Genomic DNA, 23,650 nt, shown 5'->3' on the forward strand with positions numbered 1-23,650 from the left:
TAGTGTAGTAGAATCACGTTATTCCTCTTTGTAGAGAAACTGCATTTTGTTACATAATTTACCTAACATCATTTTTCTTTTAGGGAAGGCCTCTTACTGAAAACTTGGTTTAGCAATTAAACTTCAAGCTAAAATATTAGACAGAGGCAACACAAGGAAAGTGAGAAAGTTTTCTGAAATGATGATATAAATCAACAAAGAAACAAGATTTGATTGTTTAAAATCAGTGTCGAATTAATTAAAGTGTGTGCTACAGCAGCTTTCCCCAACCTTTTTGGCACCAGGGACTGGTTTTGTGGAAGACAGTTTTTCCACGGATGGTGTGGGTGGCTGGTTTCATGTTGAAATTCTTTCATCTCAGATCATCAGGCATTATGTTCTCATAAGGAGCATGCAACTTAGATCCCTTGCATGTGCAGTTCATGATGGGTTCATGCTCCTATGAGAATCTAATGCCGCCGCTGATCTGACAGGAGGTAGAGCTCAGGCAGTAATGCTTGTTTGGCCATTGCTCACCTCCTGCTGTGCAGCCTGATTCCTAACAGGCCAGGCCCTGGGGGTTAGGGAATCCTTGTACCACAGGATACTGTTTTTCTGCCAGGCTAATTAGCAGTATTTAGGGGAAAGGGACCAAAACTCAAGAAATTTGAGGAAAATTGGGTTAAAAAAGTTAAACAAGGTTCTTTACTAAAGAGTTTTCCAGAACATTTTTTATTTTCATTTTTACTTTAGAGTTGGGGTCTCACTCTGTCACCCAGGCTAGAGTGCAGTGGCATGATCATACCTCATTGAAGCCTCAGCCTCCTTAGTAGCTGGGACCACACCTGACTAACTTTCTTAGTTTTTTTATTTTTTTGTAGAGATGAGGGTTTTGCTTGTTGCCCTTGTGGGTCTTGAACTCCTGATCTCAAGCGACCCTCTTGCCTTGACCTCTGAAAGTGTTGGTATTGCAGGTGTGAGCCACTGTGACTGGCCTCTGAGAACTTTTAACATGCATTCTGGATCTCCAAGAGGGCCACAGTATATGCAGGAGACTGGTGTTTCTTTTCTCTTTCTTTTTTTTTTTTATACTTTAAGTTCTGGGGTACATGTGCAGAACGTGCAGGTTTGTTACGCAGGTATACACGTGCCATGGTGGTTTGCTGCACCCATCAACCCATCATCTACATTAGGTATTTCTCCTAATACTATCTCTCCCCATGCCCTCCACCCCCACAAAAGGTCTGGGTGTGTGATGTTCCCCTCCCTATGTCCATGTGTTCTCATTGTTCAACTCCCACTAATGAGTGAGAACATGCAGTGTTTGGTTTTCTGTTCTTGTGATAGTTTGCTGAGAATGATGGTTTCCAGCTTCGTTGATGTCCCTGCAAAGGACATGAACTCATCCTTTTTTATGGCTGCCTAGTATTCCATGGTGTATATGTGTCACATTTTCTTTATCCAGTCTATCATTGATGGGCATTTGGGTTGGTTCTGAGTCTTTGCTATTGTGAACAGTGCCACAATAAACATATGTGTGCATGTGTCTTTATAGTAGCATGATTTATAATCCTTTGGGTATATACCCAGTAATGGTATTGCTGGGTCAAATGATATTTCTAGTTCTAGAACTTTGAGGAATCTCCACAGTCCTCCACAATGGGTGAACTAATTTACACTCCCACCAACAAAGTAAAAGTGTTCCTATTTCTCCACAACTTCTCCAGCATCTGTTGTTTCTTGACTTTTTAATGATTGCCATTCTAACTGGCATAAGATAGTATCTCATTGTGGTTTTGATTTGCATTTCTCTGATGACCAGCATTTTTTCATGTTTGTTGGCTGCATACATGTCTTCTTTTGAGAAGTGTCTGTTCATATCTTTTGCCCACTTTTTGATGGGGTTGTTTTTTTCTTGTAAATTTGTTTACGTTCTTTGTAGATTCTGGATATTAGCCCTTTTTCAGATGGTTAGATTGCAAAAATTTTCTCCCATTCTGTAGGTTGCCTGTTCACTGTGATGATAGTTTCTTTTGCTGTGCAAAAGCTCTTTAGTTTAATTAGATTCCATTTGTCAATTTTGGCTTTTGTTGCCGTTGCTTTTAGTGTTTTAGTCATGAAGTCTTTGCCCATGCCTATGTCCTGGATGGTATTGCCTAGGTTTTCTTCTAGGGTTTTTATGTTTTTAGGTCTTACCTTTAAGCCTTTAATCCATCTTGAGTTAATTTTTGTATAAGGAAGGGATCCAGTTTTGTAAGGAAGGGATCCAGTTTCAGCTTTCCAGATAGGGCTAGCCAGTTTTCCCAGCACCGTTTATTAAATAGGGAATCCTTTCCCCATTGCTTGTTTTCCTCAGGTTTGTCAAAGATCAGATGGTTGTAGATGTGTGGTGTTATTTCTGAGGCCTCTGTTCTGTTCCATTGGTCTATATCTCTGTTTTGGTACCAGTACCATGCTGTTTTGGTTACTGTAGCCTTGTAATATAGTTTGAAGTCAGGTAGCATGATGCCTCCAGCTTTGCTCTTTTTACTTAGGATTGTCTTGGCTATGCAGGCTCTTTTTTGGTTCCATATAAAATATAAAGTAGTTTTTCCAATTCTGTGAAGAAAGTCAATGGTAGTTTGATAGAAATAACATTGAATGTACAAATTATTTTGGGCAGTATGGCCATTTTCACGATATTGATTCTTCCTATCCATAAGCATGGAATGTTTTTCCATTTGTTTGTGTCCTCTTTTATTTCCTTGAGCAGTGGTTTGTAGTTCTCCTTGAAGAGGTCCTTCACATCCCTTGTAAGTTGGATTCCTAGGTATTTAATTCTCTTTGAAGAAATTGTGAGTGGGAGTTCACTCATGATTTGGCTCTTTGGTTGTTATTGGTGTATAGGAATGCTTGTGATTTTTGCACAGTGATTTTGTATCCTGAGACTTTGCTGAAGTTGCTTATTAGCTTAAAGGGATTTTGGGCTGAGATGATGGGGTTTTCTAAATATGCAATGATGTCATCTGCAAACAGAGACAATTTGACTTCCTCTTTTCCTAATTGAATACTCTTTATTTCTTTCTCTTGCCTGATTGCCCTGGCCTGAATTTCCAATACTGTGTTGAATAGGAGTGGTGAGAGAGGGCATCCTTTTCTTGTGCCGGTTTTCAAAGGGAATGCTTCCAGTTTTTGCCCATTCAGTATGATATTGGCTGTGGGTTTGTCATAAATAGCTCTTATTATTTTGAGATACATTCCATAAATACCTACTTATTGAGAGTTTTTAGCATGAAAGGCAATTTTGTTGAAGGCCTTTTCTGCATCTATTGAGATAATCATGTGGTTTTTGTCATTGGTTCTGTTTATGTGATGGATTACATTTATTGATTTGTATATGTTGAACCAGGCTTACATCCCAGGGATGAAGGTGACTTGATCATGATGCACAAGCTTTTTGATGTGCCGCTGGATTTGGCTTACCAGTATTTTATTGAGGATTTTTGCATTGATGTTCTTCAGGGATATTGGCCTAAAATTTTATTTTTTTGTTGTGTCTCTGCCAGATTTTGGTGTCAGGATGATGCTAGCCCCATAAAATGAGTTAGGGAGGATTCCCTCTTTTTCTTTTGTTTGGAATAGTTTCAGAAGGAATAGTACCATCTCGTCTTAAAATTTGGCTGTGAATCCGTCTGGTCCTGAGGTTTTTTTGGTTGATAGGCTATTAATTACTGCCTCAATTTCAGAACTTGTTATTGGTCTCTTCAGGGATTTGGCTTCTTCCTGGTCTAGTCTTGGGAGGGTGTATGTGTCCAGGAATTTATCCATTTTTTCTAGATTTTCTAGTTTATTTGCATAGAGGTGTTTATAGTATTCTCTGATGGTAGTTTGTATTTCTGTGGGATCGGTGGTGACATCCCTTTTATCATTTTTTATTACATCTATTTGATTCTTCTCTCTTTTCTTCTTTATTAGTCTTGCTAGTGGTGTATCTATTTTGTTGATCTTTTCAAAAAACAAGCTGCTGGATTCATTGATTTTTTGAAGTGTTTTTGTGTCTCTATCTCCTTCAGTTCTGCTGTGATCTTAATTTTTTTTCTTGTCTTCTGCTAGCTTTTGAATTTGTTTGCTCTTGCTTCTCTAGTTCTTTCCATTGTGATGGTAGGGTGTCGATTTTAGATCCTTTCTGCTTTCTCTTGTGGGCATTTAGTGCTATAAATTTCCCTCTACACACTGCTTTAAATGTGTCCCAGAGATTCTGGTACATTGTATCTTTGTTCTCATTGGTTTCAAAGAACATCTTTATTTCTGCCTTCATTTTGTTATTTGCCCAGTAGTCATTCAGGAGCAGGCTGTTCAGTTTCCATGCAGTTGTGTGGTTTTGAGTGAGTTTCTTAATCCTGAGTTCTAATTTGATTACACTGTGGTCTGAGAGACAGTTTGTTGTGATTTCTGTTCTTTTACATTTGCTGAGGAGTGTTTTACTTCCAATTATGTGGTCAATTTTAGAATAAATGTGATGTGGTGCTGAGAAGAATGTATATTCTGTTGATTTGGGGTGGAGAGTTCTGTAGATGTCTATTAGGTCTGCTTGGTCCATAGCTGAGTTCAAGTCCTGGATATCCTTGGTCATTTTCTGTCTCGTTGTTGTGTCTAATATTGACAGTGAGGTGTTAAAGTCTCCCACTGTTACTGTGTGGGAGTCTAAGTCTCTTTGTAGGTCTCTAAGAACTTGCTTTATGAATCTGGGTGCTCCTGTATTGGGTGCATATATGTTTAGGATAGTTAGCTGTTCTTGTTGCATTGATCCCTTTACCATTATGTGATGCCCTTCTTTGTCTCTTTTGATCTTTGTTAGTTTAAAGTCTGTTTTATCAGAGACTAGGATTGCAACCCCTGCTTTTTTTTTTGCTTTCCACTTGCTTGGTAAATCTTCCTCCATCCCTTTATTTTGAGCCTATGTGTCTCTTTGCACGTGAGATGAGTCTCATGAATACAGCACACCAATGGGTCTTGATTCTTTATCCAGTTTGCCAGTCTGTGTCTTTTAATTGGGGCATTTAGCCCATTTACATTTAAGGTTAATATTGTTACGTGTGAATTTGATTCTGGTATTATGATGCTAGCTGGTTATTATGCCCAGCTAGCTAGTTGATGCAGTTTCTTCATAGCATCGATGGTCTTTAAAATTTGGTATGTTTTTGCAGTGGCTGGTACTGGTTTTTCCTTTCCATGTTTAGTGCTTCCTTCAGGAGCTCTTGTAAGGCAGGCCTGGTGGTGACAAAATCTCTCAGCATTTGCTTGTCTGTAAAGGATTTTATTTCTCCACTTATGAAGCATAGTTTGGCTGGACATGAAATGCTGGGTTGAAAAATCATTTCTGGCTGGGCACAGTGGCTCATGCCTATAATCCCAGCACTTTGGGAGGCCAAGACAGGCAGATCACAAGGTCAGGAGATCGAGACCATCCCAGGCAACATGGTGAAACCATGTCTCTACTAAAAATACACACAGACACACACAAAATTAGCCGGGCATTGTGGCACACACCTGTAGTCCCAGGTACTAGGGAGGCTGAGGCAGGAGAATTGCTTGGACCTGGGAGGCAGAGGTTGCAGTGAGCAAAGATCACACCACTGCACTCCAGTCTGGGCTACAGAGCGAGACTCTGTCTCGAACAAAACAAAACAAAAACTTATTTTCTTTAAGAATGTTGAATATTGGCCCCCACTGTCTTCTGGCTTGTATGGTTTCTGCTGAGAGATCCACTGTCAGTCTGATGGGCTTCTCTTTGTGGGTAACCTGACCTTTCTCTCTGGCTGCCCTTAACATTTCTTCCTTCGTTTCAACCTTGGTGAATCTGACAATTATGTGTCTTGGGGTTGCTGTTTTCGAGGAACATCTTTGTGGTGTTCTCTGTATTTCCTGAATTTGAATGTTGGCCTGCCTTGCTAGGTTAGGGAAGTTCTTCCGGATAATATCCTGAAGAGCGATTTCCAACTTGGTTCCATTCTCCCCGTCCGTTTCATGTACACCAATCAAAACTAGATTTGGTCTTTTCACATAGTCCCATATTTCTTGGAGACTTTGTTCATTTCTTTTCAGTCTTTTTCTCTAATATTGTCTTCTCGCTTTATTTCCTTGAGTTGATCTTCAATCTGTGATATCCTTTCTTCCGCTTGATCAACTCAGCTGTTGATACTTGTGTGTGTTTCACAAAGTTCTTGTGCTGTTTTTCAACTCTATCAGTTCATTTATTTTCTTCTCTAAGCTGGTTATTCTAGTTAGCAATTTGTCTAACCTTTTTTCCAGGTTCTTAGCTTCCTTGCTTTGGGTTAGAACATGCTCCTTTAGCTTGGAGGAGTTTGTTATTACCCACCTTCTGAAGCCTACTTCTGTCAATTCATCAAACTCATTCTCCGTCCAGTTTTGTTCCCTTGCTGGTGAGGAGTTGTGGTCCTTTGGAGTAGAAGAGGCATTCTGGTTTTTGGAACTTTCAGCTTTTTTGTGCTGGTTTCTCCCCATCTTCATGGATTTATCTATCTTTGGTCTTTGTTGGTGATATTGATCCTGTTCCTTTCTGTTTGTTAGCTTTCCTTCTAACAGTCAGGCCCCTCTGCTGCAGGTCTGCTGGAGTTTGCTGGAGGTCCACTCCAGACCCTGTTTGCCTGAGTATGACCAGTGGAGGCTGCTGCCCAACAAAGATTGCTGCCTGTTCCTACCTCTGGAAGCTTCGTCCCAGAGGGGCACCCGCCAGATGCCAGCCAGAGCTCTCCTATAGGAGGTATCTGTCGGCCCCTACTGGGAGGTGTCTCCCAGTCTGGATACACTGGGAGTCAGGGGATCAGGGACCCACTTGAGGAGGCAGTCTGTCCTTTATCAGAACTCGAATGCTGTGCTGGGAGAACTCTGCTCTCTTTAGATCTGTCAGGCAGGGACATTTAAGACTGCTGAGGCTGCACGCACAGCCACCCCTCCCCCAGTTGCTCTGTCCCAGGGAGCTGCAGTGGGCTCCGCCCGGTTTGAACTTCCCTGTGGCTTTGTTTACACTGTGATGGTAAAACCACCTACTCAAGCCTCAGCAATGGTGGTTGCCCCTCCCCCCACCAAGTTTGAGCATCCCAGGTCAACCTCAGACTGCTATGCTAGCAGCGAGAATTTCAAGCCAGTGGATCTTAGCTTGTTGGGCTCCGTAGGGGTGGGACCCACCGAGCCGGACACTGGAGAGAATCTCCTGGTCTGCCAGTTGCGAAGACCATGGGAAAAGCACAGAATCTGGGCCAGAATGCACCGTTCCTCCCTGTACAGACTTTCACGACTTCCCTTGGCTAGGAAAGGGAAATCTCCTCACCCCTTGTGCTTCCCAGGTGAGGCAACGCCCCACCCTGCTTCTGCCTGCCCTCTGTGGGCTGTACCCACTGTCCAACCAGTCCCAGTGAGATGAACCATGTACCTCAGTTGGAAATGCAGGAATCACCTGCCTTCTGCATTGATCTTGTTGCGAATGGCAGACCAGAGTTTTTCCTATTCAGCCATCTTGCCAGCTACCAACCTGGTGTTTCTTTAAGAAACTTCAAGAATACTGACTTGGGAATACACTTTGAGAAAATGAACTTATTCACAAATTTTCAGGCACATGGATTTTATGGCAAAGAACCCCTTCACTGATCTGGAAGCCAGAGCTCACCTTAGTATCCATTTAGCAGACTAATGTGTGGGCCTGGTGAGGACAGGAAAGATCATCCGGACTCCTATTCTTCTCCCCTCCATACCTCAATCCAGATATTCAAGGTCTAGAAATTCCAGGGTTATCAATATATTCCTTGAGGGCATTGCCCTTTCCAGGCTCCTTTTTGAAATGAAAATACAACACAGGGTGGGAGCACTTTGAATCAATTGTATCTTCATCTGAATTATTTGTTTTTAGAATAAGTTTGGAAGACCTCAGGGTGGTGTGAGGATACTGGATATGTAGAGCATAGGAGGTGGGCCCTCTAAAGGGAGGGGAGGAATCCCCATAGGAAGCTTCCCCCCATCAAGGCTGTGCCAGGAAGTAGACCCTACATACGGCTTTCTCTCAGATGCATTCAGAACCCAGAGATTAGGGGGAGTGAAGGAAACCCATGTTTAACTCTTGGCTTGCTTTGAGTGGATGCAATGGCCCTCTTTTCTCATCCTCTTCCTCAGCCTGTATAGGGTCTTCTTTCAGGCATGCTGAGACACTGCTTGCTTGGATGCCAGCTCTATTAGAGATGCACTATCCGAAGGCCTGCTGCTGATAATATCTGTCACATTGAATTATGCCTTCTGGGCATGATGTGGCATGCAGACAGAGAGGCCAGTCATTACCCTAGGGCTAATAAGGCCCTTATCAAAAGGGGAATCTCCTTCAAAGAATAGTTTAGAAATAGCAGGCGGTACTGAATTTTGCATGTGGGGCTGACAGTCTGTAAGAATACTGCTCTTGTTTTCAGGAAATGAGAATTCTTTCGGCAAAAGGAGAAGCTGATTTGCAGAAGTGCTGAGCATGCCTGAGAGAGATGGGAGTGATCAAGACCAAGAGTGCCATTTGGATGTGCAGAGTTGAGGTGACATCTGCCTGGAGAGATTCAGGAGGCAGCTGAAATACACTCACGTAAAGCAAGAGAAACACTAAAATGGGAGAGACAAATTTGGGAATCCTACATTTGTCGTTGTCAAAGTTTAAGAATCACTTTTGAGAAGTTCCTTAAGAGATGGATTGGGAGGGCGCATTGGGAGATTCTGCTTCTGTATACTTGATGTCAGGACAGGAAATGTGAATTTAAAAAGTGTCCGAGGAGACTTTTATGCAGGGAGGAGGGGCCCCAAAGGCCTTCTGGAAAACACTTCTTCAGATTGATAGAGAAACCCATGGTGAAGAAAAACGGGCTAAGGACAGCACCATGGGAATGCCTGTGCCCACAATGGGGAAAAGGAGGAATCGGAGGAGCCAGGGAAGAAGATGGAGTAGGGGCCATCAGAGAGATATGAGGAGAGTGGAACATGCAGTGAAATCGACCATCCACCTAAGAAACCATACAAAGGACAGGCGAAAACAAAGTAGTTTATTCCTCCTTGAAATTAAGACATGAAAATTAAAACCCTGTGTATGACTTTACTCCTAAATTAGCCAAGAGAAAAGTCACTTAAAGGAAGCACCAAATGGCAGAGAAATAATTATAAAACATACACTCATGCATTTAAAATGATTTAAGCCTTTTGGAAAGCAATATGGTAATTCCCATCTAGAGCCAGGCATATGTGTATATCCCACAATCCAGTGATTCTAGCACTGAGAACTTTCCAAAGAAAATAACTGAACACAGTAAATAAGCCATAAGAATGAAAACGATCATTATAGCAGTATCTATATGATAAATTTGAGATACCCTGAATACTCAGCAACATTACAGTGATATAAAGACATTATGATTCACTTAATGAAGTATGCAATAATTTAAAATGACAATTTGGCTAATTTAGAGATATAGAAAAAGTTGTATATTGAAAAACTTAGAATACAAAGTAAAACTTATATTGTAAATACAAAAATGTAAGTATGTTTTTTGAGAAAAAAAGGAAAGTAATTTTGTGTCCCAATTTTGTACCTTTAAGTCAGTTAAGTATGTGTACCATTTACCTGGTAGCCTATAAAGCAAGCCATGGATACCAACTGGTATTCTTGGCAGTTATAAGGTGCTCAGATAGCCAAAATAGCTGTGTAAATATCCTAAATCCCATCCTTTCCTTATTGAGTTGGTTTCCAACTCTTCTTTCCAACTCTTCTCTCTTTGTCTGGTTTAGGATGCTGCCTATGACTCTGTACTTTATACTAGCATCTGTTCTTTCACACTTCTTTTACATGCTTCTCAGATTGCTTGGACCAGCTCTCCCAGTTTCAGATAATCTCAGCTATTGAAGCCCACTCTAACAGCCCTGTAATAAAAGTACTTGTGTTTAAGTTTTTACTTACGAAAAATTACATTAAAGCAATGTTCATGGTAAAACTAGCCAAATGGCTTTTAAAAGCTAATATTGTCAGGTGTGGTGGCTCACACCTGTAATCCCAGCACTTTGAGAGGCTGAGGCAGGAGGATTGCTTGAGCCCAGGAGTTTGAGACTAGCCTGGGCAACACAGGGACACCACATCTCTATAAAACATTAAAAAATTAGCTTGGCCTGGTGGCATAAGCCTGTGTTCCCAACTACTTGGGAGGCTGAGGTGGGAGGGTCATCTGAGCTGGGGAGATCAAGTCTGTAGTGAACCATGATCATGCCACTGCACTCCAGCCTGGGTGACAGAGTGAGACCCTGTCTTAAAAAAAAAAAAAGCTAATAGTGAAAAATATAATACTTGCCTGCACAGTTTCTGTAGATCAGAAGTTTGGTGAAGCTTAGCTGGTGGAGGATGGGCAAGGATCTGGTGGTTTAACCTCTCTGTATACAGACTTTCAATTAATAGATCTGTTTTTAGCTCCACACTATACCCCTACCTTACTGCAATAACTTGAGTCTCCAAGACCTGAGACTTTCTGCTAATCCAGTTCAATGCTTATCAGATCCTACAGATTCTTTCTGTAGGGCTTTCAGGGTATCCTGCTACGTTGACTACTGCTCATCCATCTGCGTGCCTTCCAAATATTTGTTAAGATCTTTCACCTACAGTTGTGCATTAGTTCAGGTCCTTCAAGAGGCAGATACCAAGACGATATTAAATGTACAAGGATTTTGTTAGGGAACTGCCTCTGTGCGAGAAAATGGTGGTGTGGGGGGAGCCAGAAAAGACTTGGAAAGTGTCAGACTGAAATGAGAATGAAGGAGAGAAGAAAGGAATGCTGAGTGGTAATGTCCTAGACCACAGTGCAGTCTGAGGAAAGTTCAACAAGGCTGACAAGAGTATTTGAGTCAAAGCTGGCTGTTGGACCCTGGGAATGGACCTGCCTGAATTTCCCTAGCATACTCATTGAGTAATGATTAGCTGGGAGCTGCCCTGGGGAAGCATGGCTTGGGTCAAGATCAGCTGTGGATGTAGCAGGATTTCAGAGCCCAGCAGTGGGGATCCTTGGTCAATTCCACTCCCATGGATAGGGGCATGAGTAGTCTCATGGCAACCAAAGATTGTTTTTTTCTCCCTTTATCTTTTGGGTGTGTTCCTTTTATTTGGGGGAGGCTATATTCTTTAAAGAAAAATATTTTAGTGGTGTTTAGGAAAGGAAGGGAAATAAATGGTTACATTTCAACGTTCGTTTTCAAAATAAATTAAAATAATAAATATTTAAATTAATTAATTCATTTACTAGATAAATTAAATGTTTAATAACTACTTAAATAATTATTTATTTAAAATAATTTTCCTCCAACATTTCTGTAATATGTTTATACTTTTTGAAAAAGTTTAAAAGAAGAGAAGGTAATCAGAAGTGTCAGGCAGAAAGTCGGGGGAAGATGGAGGCTGAGAAAGCTTGTGTGACTAGCTAATTAGGAGGTTGGTTATTGGTGAACTTATTGCTGATTCCACTGTTATGGGGTGAAAGCCAGCTTGAAAGAGACTGAGTAGATATAAAAGAGTAAGTAGGTATAGAGCAGTCTGCCAAGAAGTCTGGTAGTAAAGGGAGAACAAGGAAGACAGCATTAACTTAGGGGTGTGCTTAGTACTTTGAAACATATTTCAAAGGAAAGGGTCTTTTTTTTTAGGCTAAGAAGTTCCTAACAGTTTTATTAGTGGACATAAAAAAGAGCCAGAATGGAGGAAAAGATTGAATATGCAAACAAGAAAGGACATGATTGTAAGAACGCGGCCTAAGAGGAGGCAGAAGAGGAAACGGGGTCACGAATGCATGCGGAGAGCTAGTTCAAAAAGCAGGAGGGCCATCTCTCCTTCAAACGTAGGAGAAATGAGATGCAGACCTAAAGATGCCTCAGTGGTGTATCAGGATATCTCTTAGCTGCATGAAGCAGGAAATTGACTATTGTGGCTTAAATAAGTAGAGGTCTAGGAGGTAGGCAGTCTAGCATTGATATAATGGCAATAAGATACTGCCAAGGATTCAAGATGCTTCCATCTTTTCATTCTATCATGTTCCATGAAGGAATGAATGAATGAGCAAAATAATGGAAGGGAACTATCATACTTCCATTGAGACTTTTTTCCTTTCAGTGAAAAACAATGTGAATGATCAAACTGTAGCAAGTTGGTTAAATAATCTAGCATGTTAACAATTTGAAGATCACATTGCTTTTTTAAAATATGTGTATGAAGTAGGGATGTGAAAAAATATAGATTATGTGATATTGAGTGAAATAGAACCTTAAAATAATATGGGCATGTTTATTGCAATTATAAAAAATTTGTATCTTACAATATTAAGGCAAGGAGGACCATTGTATCTTGATTCTCATTTAGCTTTTGTGTTAAGGAGGGTTGGATTTTTTTCTTTTTTCATTTATTCTGTTTATAGTTCACTATAAAGTTGTTAAAATATATAATTACAAAATTTAAAAGCCCATATGGAACTTTCTTTGAGCTCATCTAGAAGAAAGACACTCCTAAATGCAAGCATGGCCATCAAAATATCATTGCATTGTACACACACACACACACACACACACACACACACACATACACGGATAGTCACTACATTCTGATAACTAACTAACTTCCAACTGTAATATTGGTGTGGTTCATGAAGGCCCCTTTGCCAAATATCTCTCTACCTCCTTCACAGGCCTGAGATTCTTTTTCTGGGGAGCAATGTTTTCTTTGTTTGAGGAGAGGCATCATGATCTTCTCACTACATGTAAATGATTATGTCTTTCTAAATGGAGAGTGTTAATATCTCTGAAGGACAAAGGGTGCAGGAAGGAGTGGCTGGGTACACTTGAAATGTAGCCCCTTCTTACTCATGCCAAAGTTGAATCTAGATTCTCAATTCAAATGATCTTCCATCCCTCACTTCTGAATGATCTCCCTTCCTTTTATTGGTGCAAGGAATTACGGGGCTGGGCATGGTCTTCTGTTTACCCTCCTACCCTCCATCAGTGACTTTAAATCATTCCAATGAAGTAAGTATCTCCTATTTTTAAGCACTAGAAGAGGATGTTCTTCAATATCCCTCAATCATACATTCTTTTTTCTGACAAAACTCACCCTAGAAATACTTCTTTAAGCCAAACTTCCTAAATTCCTTACTTGCAGTGTTACAGCTTGTTTCTTGTTGGATTGCCGTCCGAGATTAAGAATTCTTAATCACATCCCTTCAGAACTTTTATCTGGAAGATCTAACATGGTGAGGGATTATCTGACCCTCCTTTACTGGTGAGGCTCAGAAGTCTAACAGTGTGCTCAGACACCTAGTAACTCAGAGGCTGATGGATACTCCTTGTAGGTTTTAGTTTCCACATCTGAAAAATGAGGAGAGCAATATCTACCCCCTCCTCCTCACATGGACTTTGTAAAAACCCTGTAAGATAATGTGACTAAAAGTACTCTGGGAAATATAAACAAATTCAAGTTATTATTTAAATACTTCTCTCTTTTCCTTTGAGTTTTGCTTTGCTGCAGTTTCATCCTCCTTTTCTACAGCACTGGCTTTGCTGTAGAAGAGGAATGGCATGGCATGCTGTCAGAAGCCACACAGCCCTCCAGCACCCTCCCTCTGCATCTAGCTTGCAGCTCTGTTCCATCCTCAGCATTAATTTTTAGGTTTGAATGGATATCCTGGCTTACATGAACTCAGGTTACTCTCTTCCTTAACCTCCTGGTAACCTGCTAAATCCCTGCAGACACATTGTTCTCAATTGGGGGCATTTCTCTCTCCTTTTCTACTGACAAGGGGATATTTGGCAGTATCTGGAGTCATCTTTGGTCATCACTGCTGGTGGGTAGTGCTACTGGCATGTGGTGGGTAGAGTCAGGGATGCTGCCAAACATCCTAAGATGCATAGGACAGCTCGCTTCCCACAACAAAGAATTATCTGGTCTAAAATGTCAGTAGTGCTGTGGTTGAGAAGTTCTGCTATAGATAAAATTCAATGAAATACATATTCTTCTCCCTTCCCCTTCCTTCCTTCCTTCCTTCCTTCCTTCCTTCCTTCCTTCCTTCCTTCCTTCCTTCCTTCCCTCCTTCCTTCCTTCCTTCTTTCCCTCTTCCTTCTTTCTTCTTCCTTTCCTTTCTTTTCCTTTCCATTCCTTTTTACTTTCTTTCAACAGCTATATCAGATATAAAGGTATAATTGGTATACAATGACCTGTACATACTTAAAGTGTACAGTTTGATGATTTTTGACATCTCTACATGTAAAACCATCACCATAATCAAGAAAATGAATCTATCCATCACTCCCAAAAGATTCCTCCTGCCCTTTTGTAATTCTGCCCTCCTTGGGCCACCCATCTCAGCTTCCCAGCCCCAATCAACCACTGATTTGCTTTCTCTCACTTGAGATTAGTTTGCATAGTCTAGAATTTTATATAATTTGAATCATACATTATGCACTTTTTTTCTGGCTTCTTTCACTCAGCATAATTATTTTAAGATTTATCTATGTCATTGCTGAACTACTTATTCTTGAGGAAAGATAAGCTGATGGTTAAGAACAAAGGGTTATGACTCCTGGGTTTTTGGGTCATTAATAGACACTCTTTTGATGATTTTACTTCTTGGATGGATGCCTCACTTAGCTGTTCCTTCCCCTGCCCCCACAATCAATTTTCCTTATCACAGTCTTTAATACCTGGCCAGTGAACTACCTCAGTGGTCTTCTAATAGGAGACTTCTGTCTCTAATTTCTACTCCCCTTAACTTATAAAACTTCATTCCCTTTTTTTTCTCTCAAACAGAATATTAAAGAGCTAATCTGTGGGATACCAGTTTGGGAAATGGTGCCCTGACATAGCTATTTTGTTTTTAAAACTCTGCATTTCAGACTTAATCCATGTGCAGTATACACACACACACAGAGAAATGAATCTTGAGACATCATCTCTAATCAGCACAGCTTACCTGGTTTTTGCCTACTTTGGTGCTAAGAATCTTTCCTGGAATTATATCTAGTTAAGGTATCCATATTTAATAATAGGAAGAATTCTTTAACCAGGCACTTTGAAGACCATAAAAAATAGTTAACGATAATTAAACCCACACATTATTATGAGAAGTATGTAGATTTTACTACATTGTTAGCCTAGACATACTTCTATACAGCAATGACATATGGTTTTGAAGTGGAATTCTTGAATAAATCTCAAGTTGCTCCTTTCAAGATAACTGAGAAAATCTTGATTCCTAAGAAAACAGTCCTCTTTATCATCTGTTCCACAGTTTTCTTTCCCATTTATCTTCGTTATATAGGATATGGCTCATTCTTTTCTCTTCCCACACAGTCTTCTGTGGGGTTGGTCATTTCTTTATTTTAATGCTTATATCACTTTTCTTCAGTCAGTTATTGGTATTTGTATCTGCAAATGCTCCAAGTTCATTTTAAGCATCAAATATAATTAATATTGCTGAGGATGTTTTGCTCTTCTCCTGGCAACTTGTTACCTGGAATGCTCTCTTCTGTTTGTGATAGGCATTGGTTGTCTTGCCTACCCAGTATCCTCTTCATTTGGTAATAGTACTGTGTTCTTTTTTGGTGTGGGAGGACGCTATGTCCCCTCTTTAATGTGTTTAGTTAACGTAGCAAGATTTCTGAGAGGGGGCGAATGGTGAACCTAGGGAGGCCTAACCTTAGGTCCCTGTGTTCTCAATGGTATATATATCTTTTTTATCAGCAGGGAGATACCAGGGTTCGTCATGGGCAGCAATGACTACGATGGACAAGAAGATAGAGGCCCTAATCCTAATTTTCTGAGCACCATGGAAGCCCCCTGGATTCTAGGGAGACCTTGAGGAGAAAGAAGACTCCTGTAAATGCCTGACATTGAAATTCCTGCAAGTCTAGGAGCATGTGAACTCAAAATGGAAATTAATTTGATTTAATAAAAATAAAGAAGAAGAATTGTTTTGGCATATCCCAGTTTGTAGACTGAGATTCATAATGGTTGTAGGCACTTAAAAATTATCATCCGTAGATTAATGAGTTTATTGAGTGCCATCTCTACTCCGAACATTATTAGCAAGACTTTTTGTGGGTAAAGCAAAGACATATGGCCCTGCCTCAGTCTTCTGAGAACACGTAGCCTGCTTGGAGACAGAATATTCAAATAGGTAGGAGGAGGTTAATTTCTTACAAGGGGTAATCCATCAGGGTCTGATAGCAACTTAAGAGCTACCACCTGCGGGCGCCTATAATCCCAGCTACTCGGGAGGCTGAGGCAGGAGAATGGCATGAACTCGGAAGGCGGAGGTTGCAGTGAGCCAAGATCGTGCCACTGCACTTCAGCCTGAGGGACAAAGCGAGACTCCATCTCCAAAAAAAAAAAAAAAAAAAAAAAAAGGAAAGAAAAAAAGAAAAACAAACAAACGACAAAAGCGAGCTACTACCTGTACCTAATTGGTAAATGAATGGCCTGGTCAATGAGCAGTGAGTTCAGCTGCTATCATATTAAAGGGAATTGAGAGAAAAAAGAAAAACAGTAAGAATTTAATGTCTTTTGTTTTACTAAGAGTGAGTTTGCAGGGCTGAATTTTTTTAAATTTTTTTATTTTTTATTTTTGAGATGGAGTCTCGTTCTGTCGCCCAGGCTGGAGTGCAGTGGCACGATCTCGGCTCACTGCAAGCTCCGCCTCCCGGGTTCACGCCATTCTCCTGCCTCAGCCTCCCGAGTAGTTGGGACTACAGGCGCCCGCCACCACGCCCGGATAATTTTTTTTGTATTTTTAGTAGAGACGGGGTTTCACCGTGTTAGCCAGGATGGTCTCAATCTCCTGACCTCGTGATCCGCCTGCCTCGGCCTCCCAAAGTGCTGGGATTACAGGCTGAGTCACCGGCTGATTGTTTTAAGGAAAGGAGCAGTTTATTTCTGCAGCTCACCACTTCCCAGGGAGCCCATGCTTTGTGAGCCTGTGGTCTCAAGAGTTCCCCATCCAGAGTGGGGAGTCAGGCCACTGGAACAGCCTGCAGAAATCAAGCAGGTGGGTAACGTGCTCAAAGATGTTTTGTGCTTGCCTTTTCCTCGTCTTCCCAAATATGCAGCACTTGTCCAGGTCAATGTCAGAGGAGCTTATGTTCCTGTTAAGCAATAAGACCCAGTAGGCAGAGAATTGCTGTGGAATTAGGGGAATTCAGAGTGACTTTGTATGTCAGGGACATGAGCCTCTGCTTCCATGCCAGTTTCCAGCACAAGGTTGTTTGAAAGCCTTGCTTAAAAAAAAATCTCGAGGTATGCCCAACTTGGAGCTCTCGGATCTGATGTGGGCAAACTGAAGAGATCAGATCAAGTCCCTTAGTTCCTTAGAGATCTAGGCTGTGAAACTGGGTGACTAGGGAAGGGATTTGAGTCATGATAGTGTGGAGTTAGTCTTAGGGCGTTCTTGGACAAGACATGAGGTCTTTTTGGAGCTTGGTTTTACTGTCTTAGTTTTATGGTAAAATGGCTACAAGAATATGGGCAGAGCTTTAATCAAAACCAAACACAAACATCTAAATATCCTACATTAATACATTAAGGAGTGGTCATTTGCTTTACAATGATAGGATTGCCCCCTTTATAAAAATTCACAGTAATATCCATTTATAGGGCAGTTGAACTTTCATTTGAAAATGGAATTTGGTTTGCAGAATGTGATTGTGTTTTCAGCTTTTAAGGAAAATATCAGTTGTAAAAAGGGAGTTCTGCATGTCTTCTTGCTCTGTTCCCCTTTCATCCCTCCATGCACTCCTCCTTCTCATGAAAACTGTGAAGATAATGTCTACATGGTACTTAACAGATGTTTAAGATCTGAGCTAAAAATCCAAATTGGTGATAAGCTCATCATCAAAGATGTACTGGGGCTCATTCTCCAGTGGCTTCTGGATTGGGAGGGGAGAGACCGGGGATCTGGTCCAAACTTTGCCTCAAAATAGCTGGGTCCCTTTGGGTAAATCTTAGAATTGTAGAACCTTTGATTGGAATAAAATTAGGGATCATCTTATCCAACCTTCTTTTGATGAAAGTATTTCATCTACAGCATCCCCAGCTGAAGAGTATCTAGTCTCTTCACTTTCTGGGCCTAAGTGTGTTCATCCAATGAGAGGAACAGGTCTCCATTTGAATCAGGTCTGAAAATGAGGCTAGGAGAGTCAAGAAACTGGAGGCCAGGACTCTGAAGACTAAATGTAATGATATCAGAGTTTGTCAAGGGGCCAAGCCCTAGGTATAGGGTCTGAGGAAGACTCTCTGGGGAATAAAACACTACACGTACCTTCCCTCTTCACAGGTCCATCCTCCTCTGGTCAATAGATGGGGAAGAGTTCTGAGACTTTTAGACACTTAACAGTTTGACCTGAAGCTGCTTACAGATCTACCTCAGCATTTCTAAAGAAAGACAAAGTCAGGATGTCAAGTGAGCTCTCTTCATATTTGAGCTAAACATTATTCCAAGGTTGTGCAGCCTCAGCTGGCCTCTTGCCCTTTGCTTCACATCCTACCTCCTCCTTCCACCCTCCCACCCCCACTTCCAGCTTTTTTACAGCATGCAAACTGCAAACCTCAAGGGCATGCAGTTGAGTCTGGCTGAAATCTGCTGAGTATTTGCAGGGTTTATCTGAGGAAGAACCTTTGGGTCATTGTCATGGCAATTTTGATAATCCTGACGACATACAGATGTGACTGTTCAGGGCAATCTGAGAATGCCTCCCACTTTCTAGCCTCAGCATTGCCTGGGGCAAATGGAGCTTGCTTACTTGCTTACTCTTTTTTTTTTTTTGTATTCTTGTGCAAATAAAATAAAAAAAGAGTTCACAAAATTTCAGTTATAAAAATCCTGTGCCAAAAAAGTTTTATCAAAAACTTCATCTGGAGTTAGAAAAAGATTCTAAGAGGGTTGGATGAGTCACCAACAGGACTGGACCAATAGTCCATTTCTGCATATTGCTTATTTGTTCTCCGTTAACATGTCTACTCACCCTTTCCAATACCACCAACCCTCCCTACTCCATTCGGATCCAGAAAATGAACTCAAGGCTAGGGATCTTTTTCAGTCATCTCTTGATGCCTCCAGTACCCAGCACCGTGCCTAGGAATTCAGTAATGTTTGATGGATAAATGATGAGGTGGGCATAAGATAGCAGAGAGATTTGCAAGGTGACTCCTGATAAACAGAGATTGAATGAAGGTAGGGATTGGTGGTGTGAAGAGACAGGGGCTTCTAGGCTTTGAGTGTTAGCCAAAGCTCTTGAGCATGGAATTGATGCCATAAAGATCAATTCCAATAAAAATATACCTGATGTCAAAATGTGTGGAGAACTAGACTTGGAGAGAGCTTAGAGGCAGGGAGACCAGCAAAGAGTATCAACCTGTTTTCTTGAAAAAGTACAGAATGGAGAAGAAAGTGCTAGGGGAGCCTAAAAGAGACGTGTTATTGCAGGTCCATTTATCTGCCCAGGAGCACAGCCAGGAAAGATTCAAATGCCTAAAGAGTTGGGCACCAACTTGTACATGAATGTTCACGGGAGCATTATTTATAATAGCTAAAAGTAGAAACAACCCAAATGTCTATCAGATGACAAATGGATGAACAGTATGTAGTATATTCATGTAATGGAACATCATTTTTCAATAAAAAGGAATGAAGTACTGATACATGCTCCAGAATAGATGAACCTTTAAAACATTATGCTAAACGAGAGAAGCTAGTTGCAAAAGGACATATGTTGAATTTTTATATTTTTGTGAAATGTTCAGAATAGGCAAATCCATAGAGACAAAAAGTAGGTTAGTAGTTGTCAGGGGCTGGGGGAGGGAGAAATGGGTAGTGATTGCCTATGTGTGTGGGGTTTCTTTTTAGGGTGATGAAAATGTTCTAAAATTACATATTGGTAATGGTCGTAGAACTCTGTGAATATACTAAAACCCACCAAATTATACATTTTAAAAGGGTGAATTGTATGATGTGTGAATTAGGTCTCAATAAAGCTGTTATTAAAAAAGAGTAGGGCTGGGCTGGGGCCATGACCACCGTCTTCACGGACATCAAGGAGTCCAGCACCATGCTGTTGAAGATATCCTGAAATGGCTGCCTGATTAGCAACGGCTGTACAAGGGTGACCAGCTCCTGGTGATGGCAAGACGATGCATGAGTTTGGCTTCCCCAGCCACAGGCCACAGCTGCAGTGGGGCTGGATTTCTGGGTCGGGTCAGAGACACCTATGAGGCCCTGCACATCGAGCCCTTCTTCAGCCCACCCATGCTGCCTGATGTGATGAATCCCCAGGACTCAGGAAGCAGCACCAATAAATAAGCCTTCCAGTGAGGAAGGCTTATTTGACCTACCCCAGAGAGGCCTCAATAAAAGATAATTGGGTATCTAAAAAAATAAGTAAATAAATAAAAGAGCCATCCATCTGACCTAAGAGTTTAAGTTTCTTGGGCTTTGGAGAAGAGTCAGCAGGGATCACAAAGAATAAGAATGAGCCATCAGACCCTTGAAGCAGGTTGTTCATGTTAGTAAGCAGTGTGTGTGTGTGTGTGTGTGTGTGTGCAAACTAATTCACAAGTCCACAAGTGGCTGTCTCGTTTTCCTTTCCATTTATTCCAAATGTGAGCTAGTCCAAACCCAGCTTGGGCAGGGTCCACTTGATTCTGCAGAGTGCTCCACAACTTGCCCTAGCTTCTGCTAGCTGCCTGCCAGTAAAGAAACCTGAGGGATACCCTGGGCTCTTGTTCCATATGGTGCAGGAATCTTTAAGAAGCATCTGCTCCTCATTATAGCCCCTTGTTATCTAGGACTCACTCTCTGCTGGAGGACAATTTTGAGTGACAGACACTGTTTTGTCTTCAAAATGGCCTTTCTATTAGGTCCTAACCCATGGTCTTTAAGTCAAGCTGTGAGCCATGATGCCATTAAAATGAGAGGCTTCCTTGGAAGCTGCCAGTGCTGTGCTGGTAAACCAGCTCTCTGGAAAAGAGGTTAAGTAATTAGGAAATGGCAGAGCCAGACAGGACTGGAGCCTCTGTCTCTCAGACTCCAAAGCAGATGCTTTTAATCACTGGACTGCTCATAAGACACATTAGTTCATAAGTTCCCTTACTGAAAGGTCTTCAGAAAGGAAATTGCTCAAGCCGTGAGACACCTTGGACTAAATTAAGCTGAGAAAGTGGATGTCATTCTAAAACTATGGCTGATCTCAAGCTACTCATGTGATGTCATTGAATATAGAGTGTGGATGAGAGGAGCATGGTTGGCTCTTGAGAAGTGGAATGAGCCTTCTCCAGCACATTACTGCTCTTGGCACAGCCTGGCGGCTCTTTTACCAGCTCTTCAGATACATTCAGATGGATTTATCCATGGGTATTCTGAACACATGAAAGGTTTCCATTTTTTTTTCTTGTTGCTTATTTGACACTTGTGCAGGCACACAGAACAGGGATACATTATTAATGAGGAAATAATGTACAGGTTTTGATGTAAACCAGTCCTACAGCAAGCTACTGACAGAGATGGGGATTACATTCCAGATTTCTGATGGACACCATTTGTTTGTTATCCTGTAAAGTTTTGAAAGCATATGACTATGTAGAGTAGATCCATATAAGTTTATATGGAACATAAATGAAAAGAGTGGACTTATTTTTACATCTTCTACCAGGTTCCTGTTCTTCAATGTGGTGGAGAGACCTGAATTTGGGCATGCCATCAACTACTTTTCTTTGTGTTTTTTTTGTTCTAAATTAAAAACTCAAGGAAAAACTATCATCACAATCTAATTTTAGAACAATTTTAAGAACCTCTAGAAGAAACTGTGTACGTTAGCACTTACTCTTTCTTCTTGCTCCCTTCTCTCATTCTCCTGATCCATCCCCAGGCACTACACTACTTTCTGTTTTTATGGATTTGCTTATTCTGTACATTTCATATACATGGAATCATACAGTATGTGTATTTTTGTGTGTGTCTGGCTTTTCTTCACATAGCATACTATTTTCAAGTTTCCTCCATGTCATAGCAAGTGGCAGTACTTTATTCTTTTGTATTGTCAGATTATATTATGTTTAATGGATATACCTTATTTTGTTTATCCATTCGTCGTTCAGTTGACATTTGGGTTGTTTTCACTTTTTGACTATTACAAGTAATGCTGCTATGAACATTTGTATACAAATTTTTAGGTGAATGTAAGTTTTTATTTCTCTTGAGTGTATATCTAGGAGTGGAATTGCTATGGTAACTCTGTTCTTAACTGTTTGAGGAACTGTCCAACCGTTTTCCAATATGGTTGTACCATTTTACAGTCCACCAGTCATTTATGAAGGTTCCAATTTCTCCACATCCTCAGCATCACTTCTTGTTGGCTCTCCTTTTGATTATAACCATCCTATTGGGTGTGAAGTGACATCTCATTGTGGCTTTGATTTGCCTTTCACTAATGATTAATAATATTGAACATCTTTTTATGTGCTTATTGGCCATTTATATGTCTTCTTTGGATAAATTTCTATTCAAATCCTTTGCCCATTTTTTTTTCTTTGAGACAGGGTCTCACTATGCCACCCAGGCTGGAGTGCAATGGTGTAATCATGGCTCACTGCAGCCTCAACCTTTCAGGCTCAAGTGGTCTTCCCCACCTCAGCCTACCAAGTAGCTGGGAACACAGGCTTACGCCACCATGCCCAGTTGATGTTTTAAATTATTTTTGTCGACATGGGGTTTCACTATGTTGCCCAGGCTGGCCTCCTCAAACTCCTAAGTTCAAGCCATCCACCTCAGCCTCCTAAAGTCTGGGATTATAGGTGAGAACCCCGTGCCTGGCCCCCTTTGCCCATTTTTTTTATTTTTTTGAGACGGAGTCTCACTCTGTCGCCCAGGCTGCAGTGCAGTGGTGCAGTCTCGGTTCACTGCAAGCTGTGCCTCCGGGGTTCACGCCATTCTCCTGCCTCAGCCTCCCTGAGTAGCTGGGACTACAGGCGCCTGCCACCATGCCCAGCTAATTTTTTTTTTTTTTTTTGTATTTTTAGTGTAGACGGGATTTCTCCGTGTTAGCCAGGATAGTCTCGATCTCCTGACCTCGTGATCCACCCGCCTCGGCCTCCCAAAGTGCTGGGTTTACAGGCGTGAGCCACTGCGCCCGGCCTCGCTTTGCCCATTTTTAATTGAATTGTTTTTCTGTTTGTTGGGGAGTTGTAAGTGTTCTTTGTATATTGTAGGTACAAGTATCTTGTCAGATATAAAATCTGCAAATATTTTTTTCCCATGCTATAAGTTGTCTTTCCACTTTCTTGATTATACCATTTGGTGCACAAAAGTTTTTAATTTTGCTGAAGTCCAATTTATCTATATTTTGTTGCTTGTACTTTTGGTGTCATATCTGAGAAACCATTGCCTAACCTAAAGTTACAAAGATTGCTCATTTTTTTTCTAGAGACAGGGTCTTGCTCTGTCACCCAGGCTGGAGTGCAGTGGCATGGTCATAGCTGACTGCAGCCTCCAGCTCCTAGACTTGAGTGATCCTCTGGCTGCAGCCTCCTGGGTAGCTAGGACCACAAGTGCATGCTACCGTGCCCAGCTCTGAAAGTTACAGAGATTTACTCCTG

At 41.2% G+C, this 23,650-nt stretch overlaps 1 protein-coding gene, 1 long non-coding RNA gene and 1 pseudogene across 2 annotated transcripts in view; all 3 read left to right on the forward strand.

Annotated features, from left to right (window-relative positions):
* The window catches only part of STON1-GTF2A1L (STON1-GTF2A1L readthrough), a 246,595-nt gene extending 230,604 nt beyond the window's left edge, over positions 1-15,991 (forward strand). Inside the window, exon 11 of the mRNA NM_001198593.2 lies at positions 15,752-15,991. Coding sequence (NP_001185522.1) covers positions 15,752-15,787 — 36 coding nt within the window. The 3' untranslated portion in view covers positions 15,788-15,991. The remainder of the gene's footprint in view (positions 1-15,751) is intronic.
* LOC105374594 (uncharacterized) overlaps positions 16,837-23,650 on the forward strand; it is a 33,971-nt gene continuing 27,157 nt past the window's right edge. The window contains exon 1 of the long non-coding RNA XR_001739460.2: positions 16,837-17,054. This is a non-coding gene — a long non-coding RNA (uncharacterized LOC105374594). The remainder of the gene's footprint in view (positions 17,055-23,650) is intronic.
* ELOBP3 (elongin B pseudogene 3) lies at positions 20,074-20,369 on the forward strand (annotated as a pseudogene).

The sequence above is a fragment of the Homo sapiens genome, chromosome 2, assembly GCF_000001405.40.
Source record: "Homo sapiens chromosome 2, GRCh38.p14 Primary Assembly".
Lineage (NCBI taxonomy): Eukaryota > Metazoa > Chordata > Mammalia > Primates > Hominidae > Homo > Homo sapiens.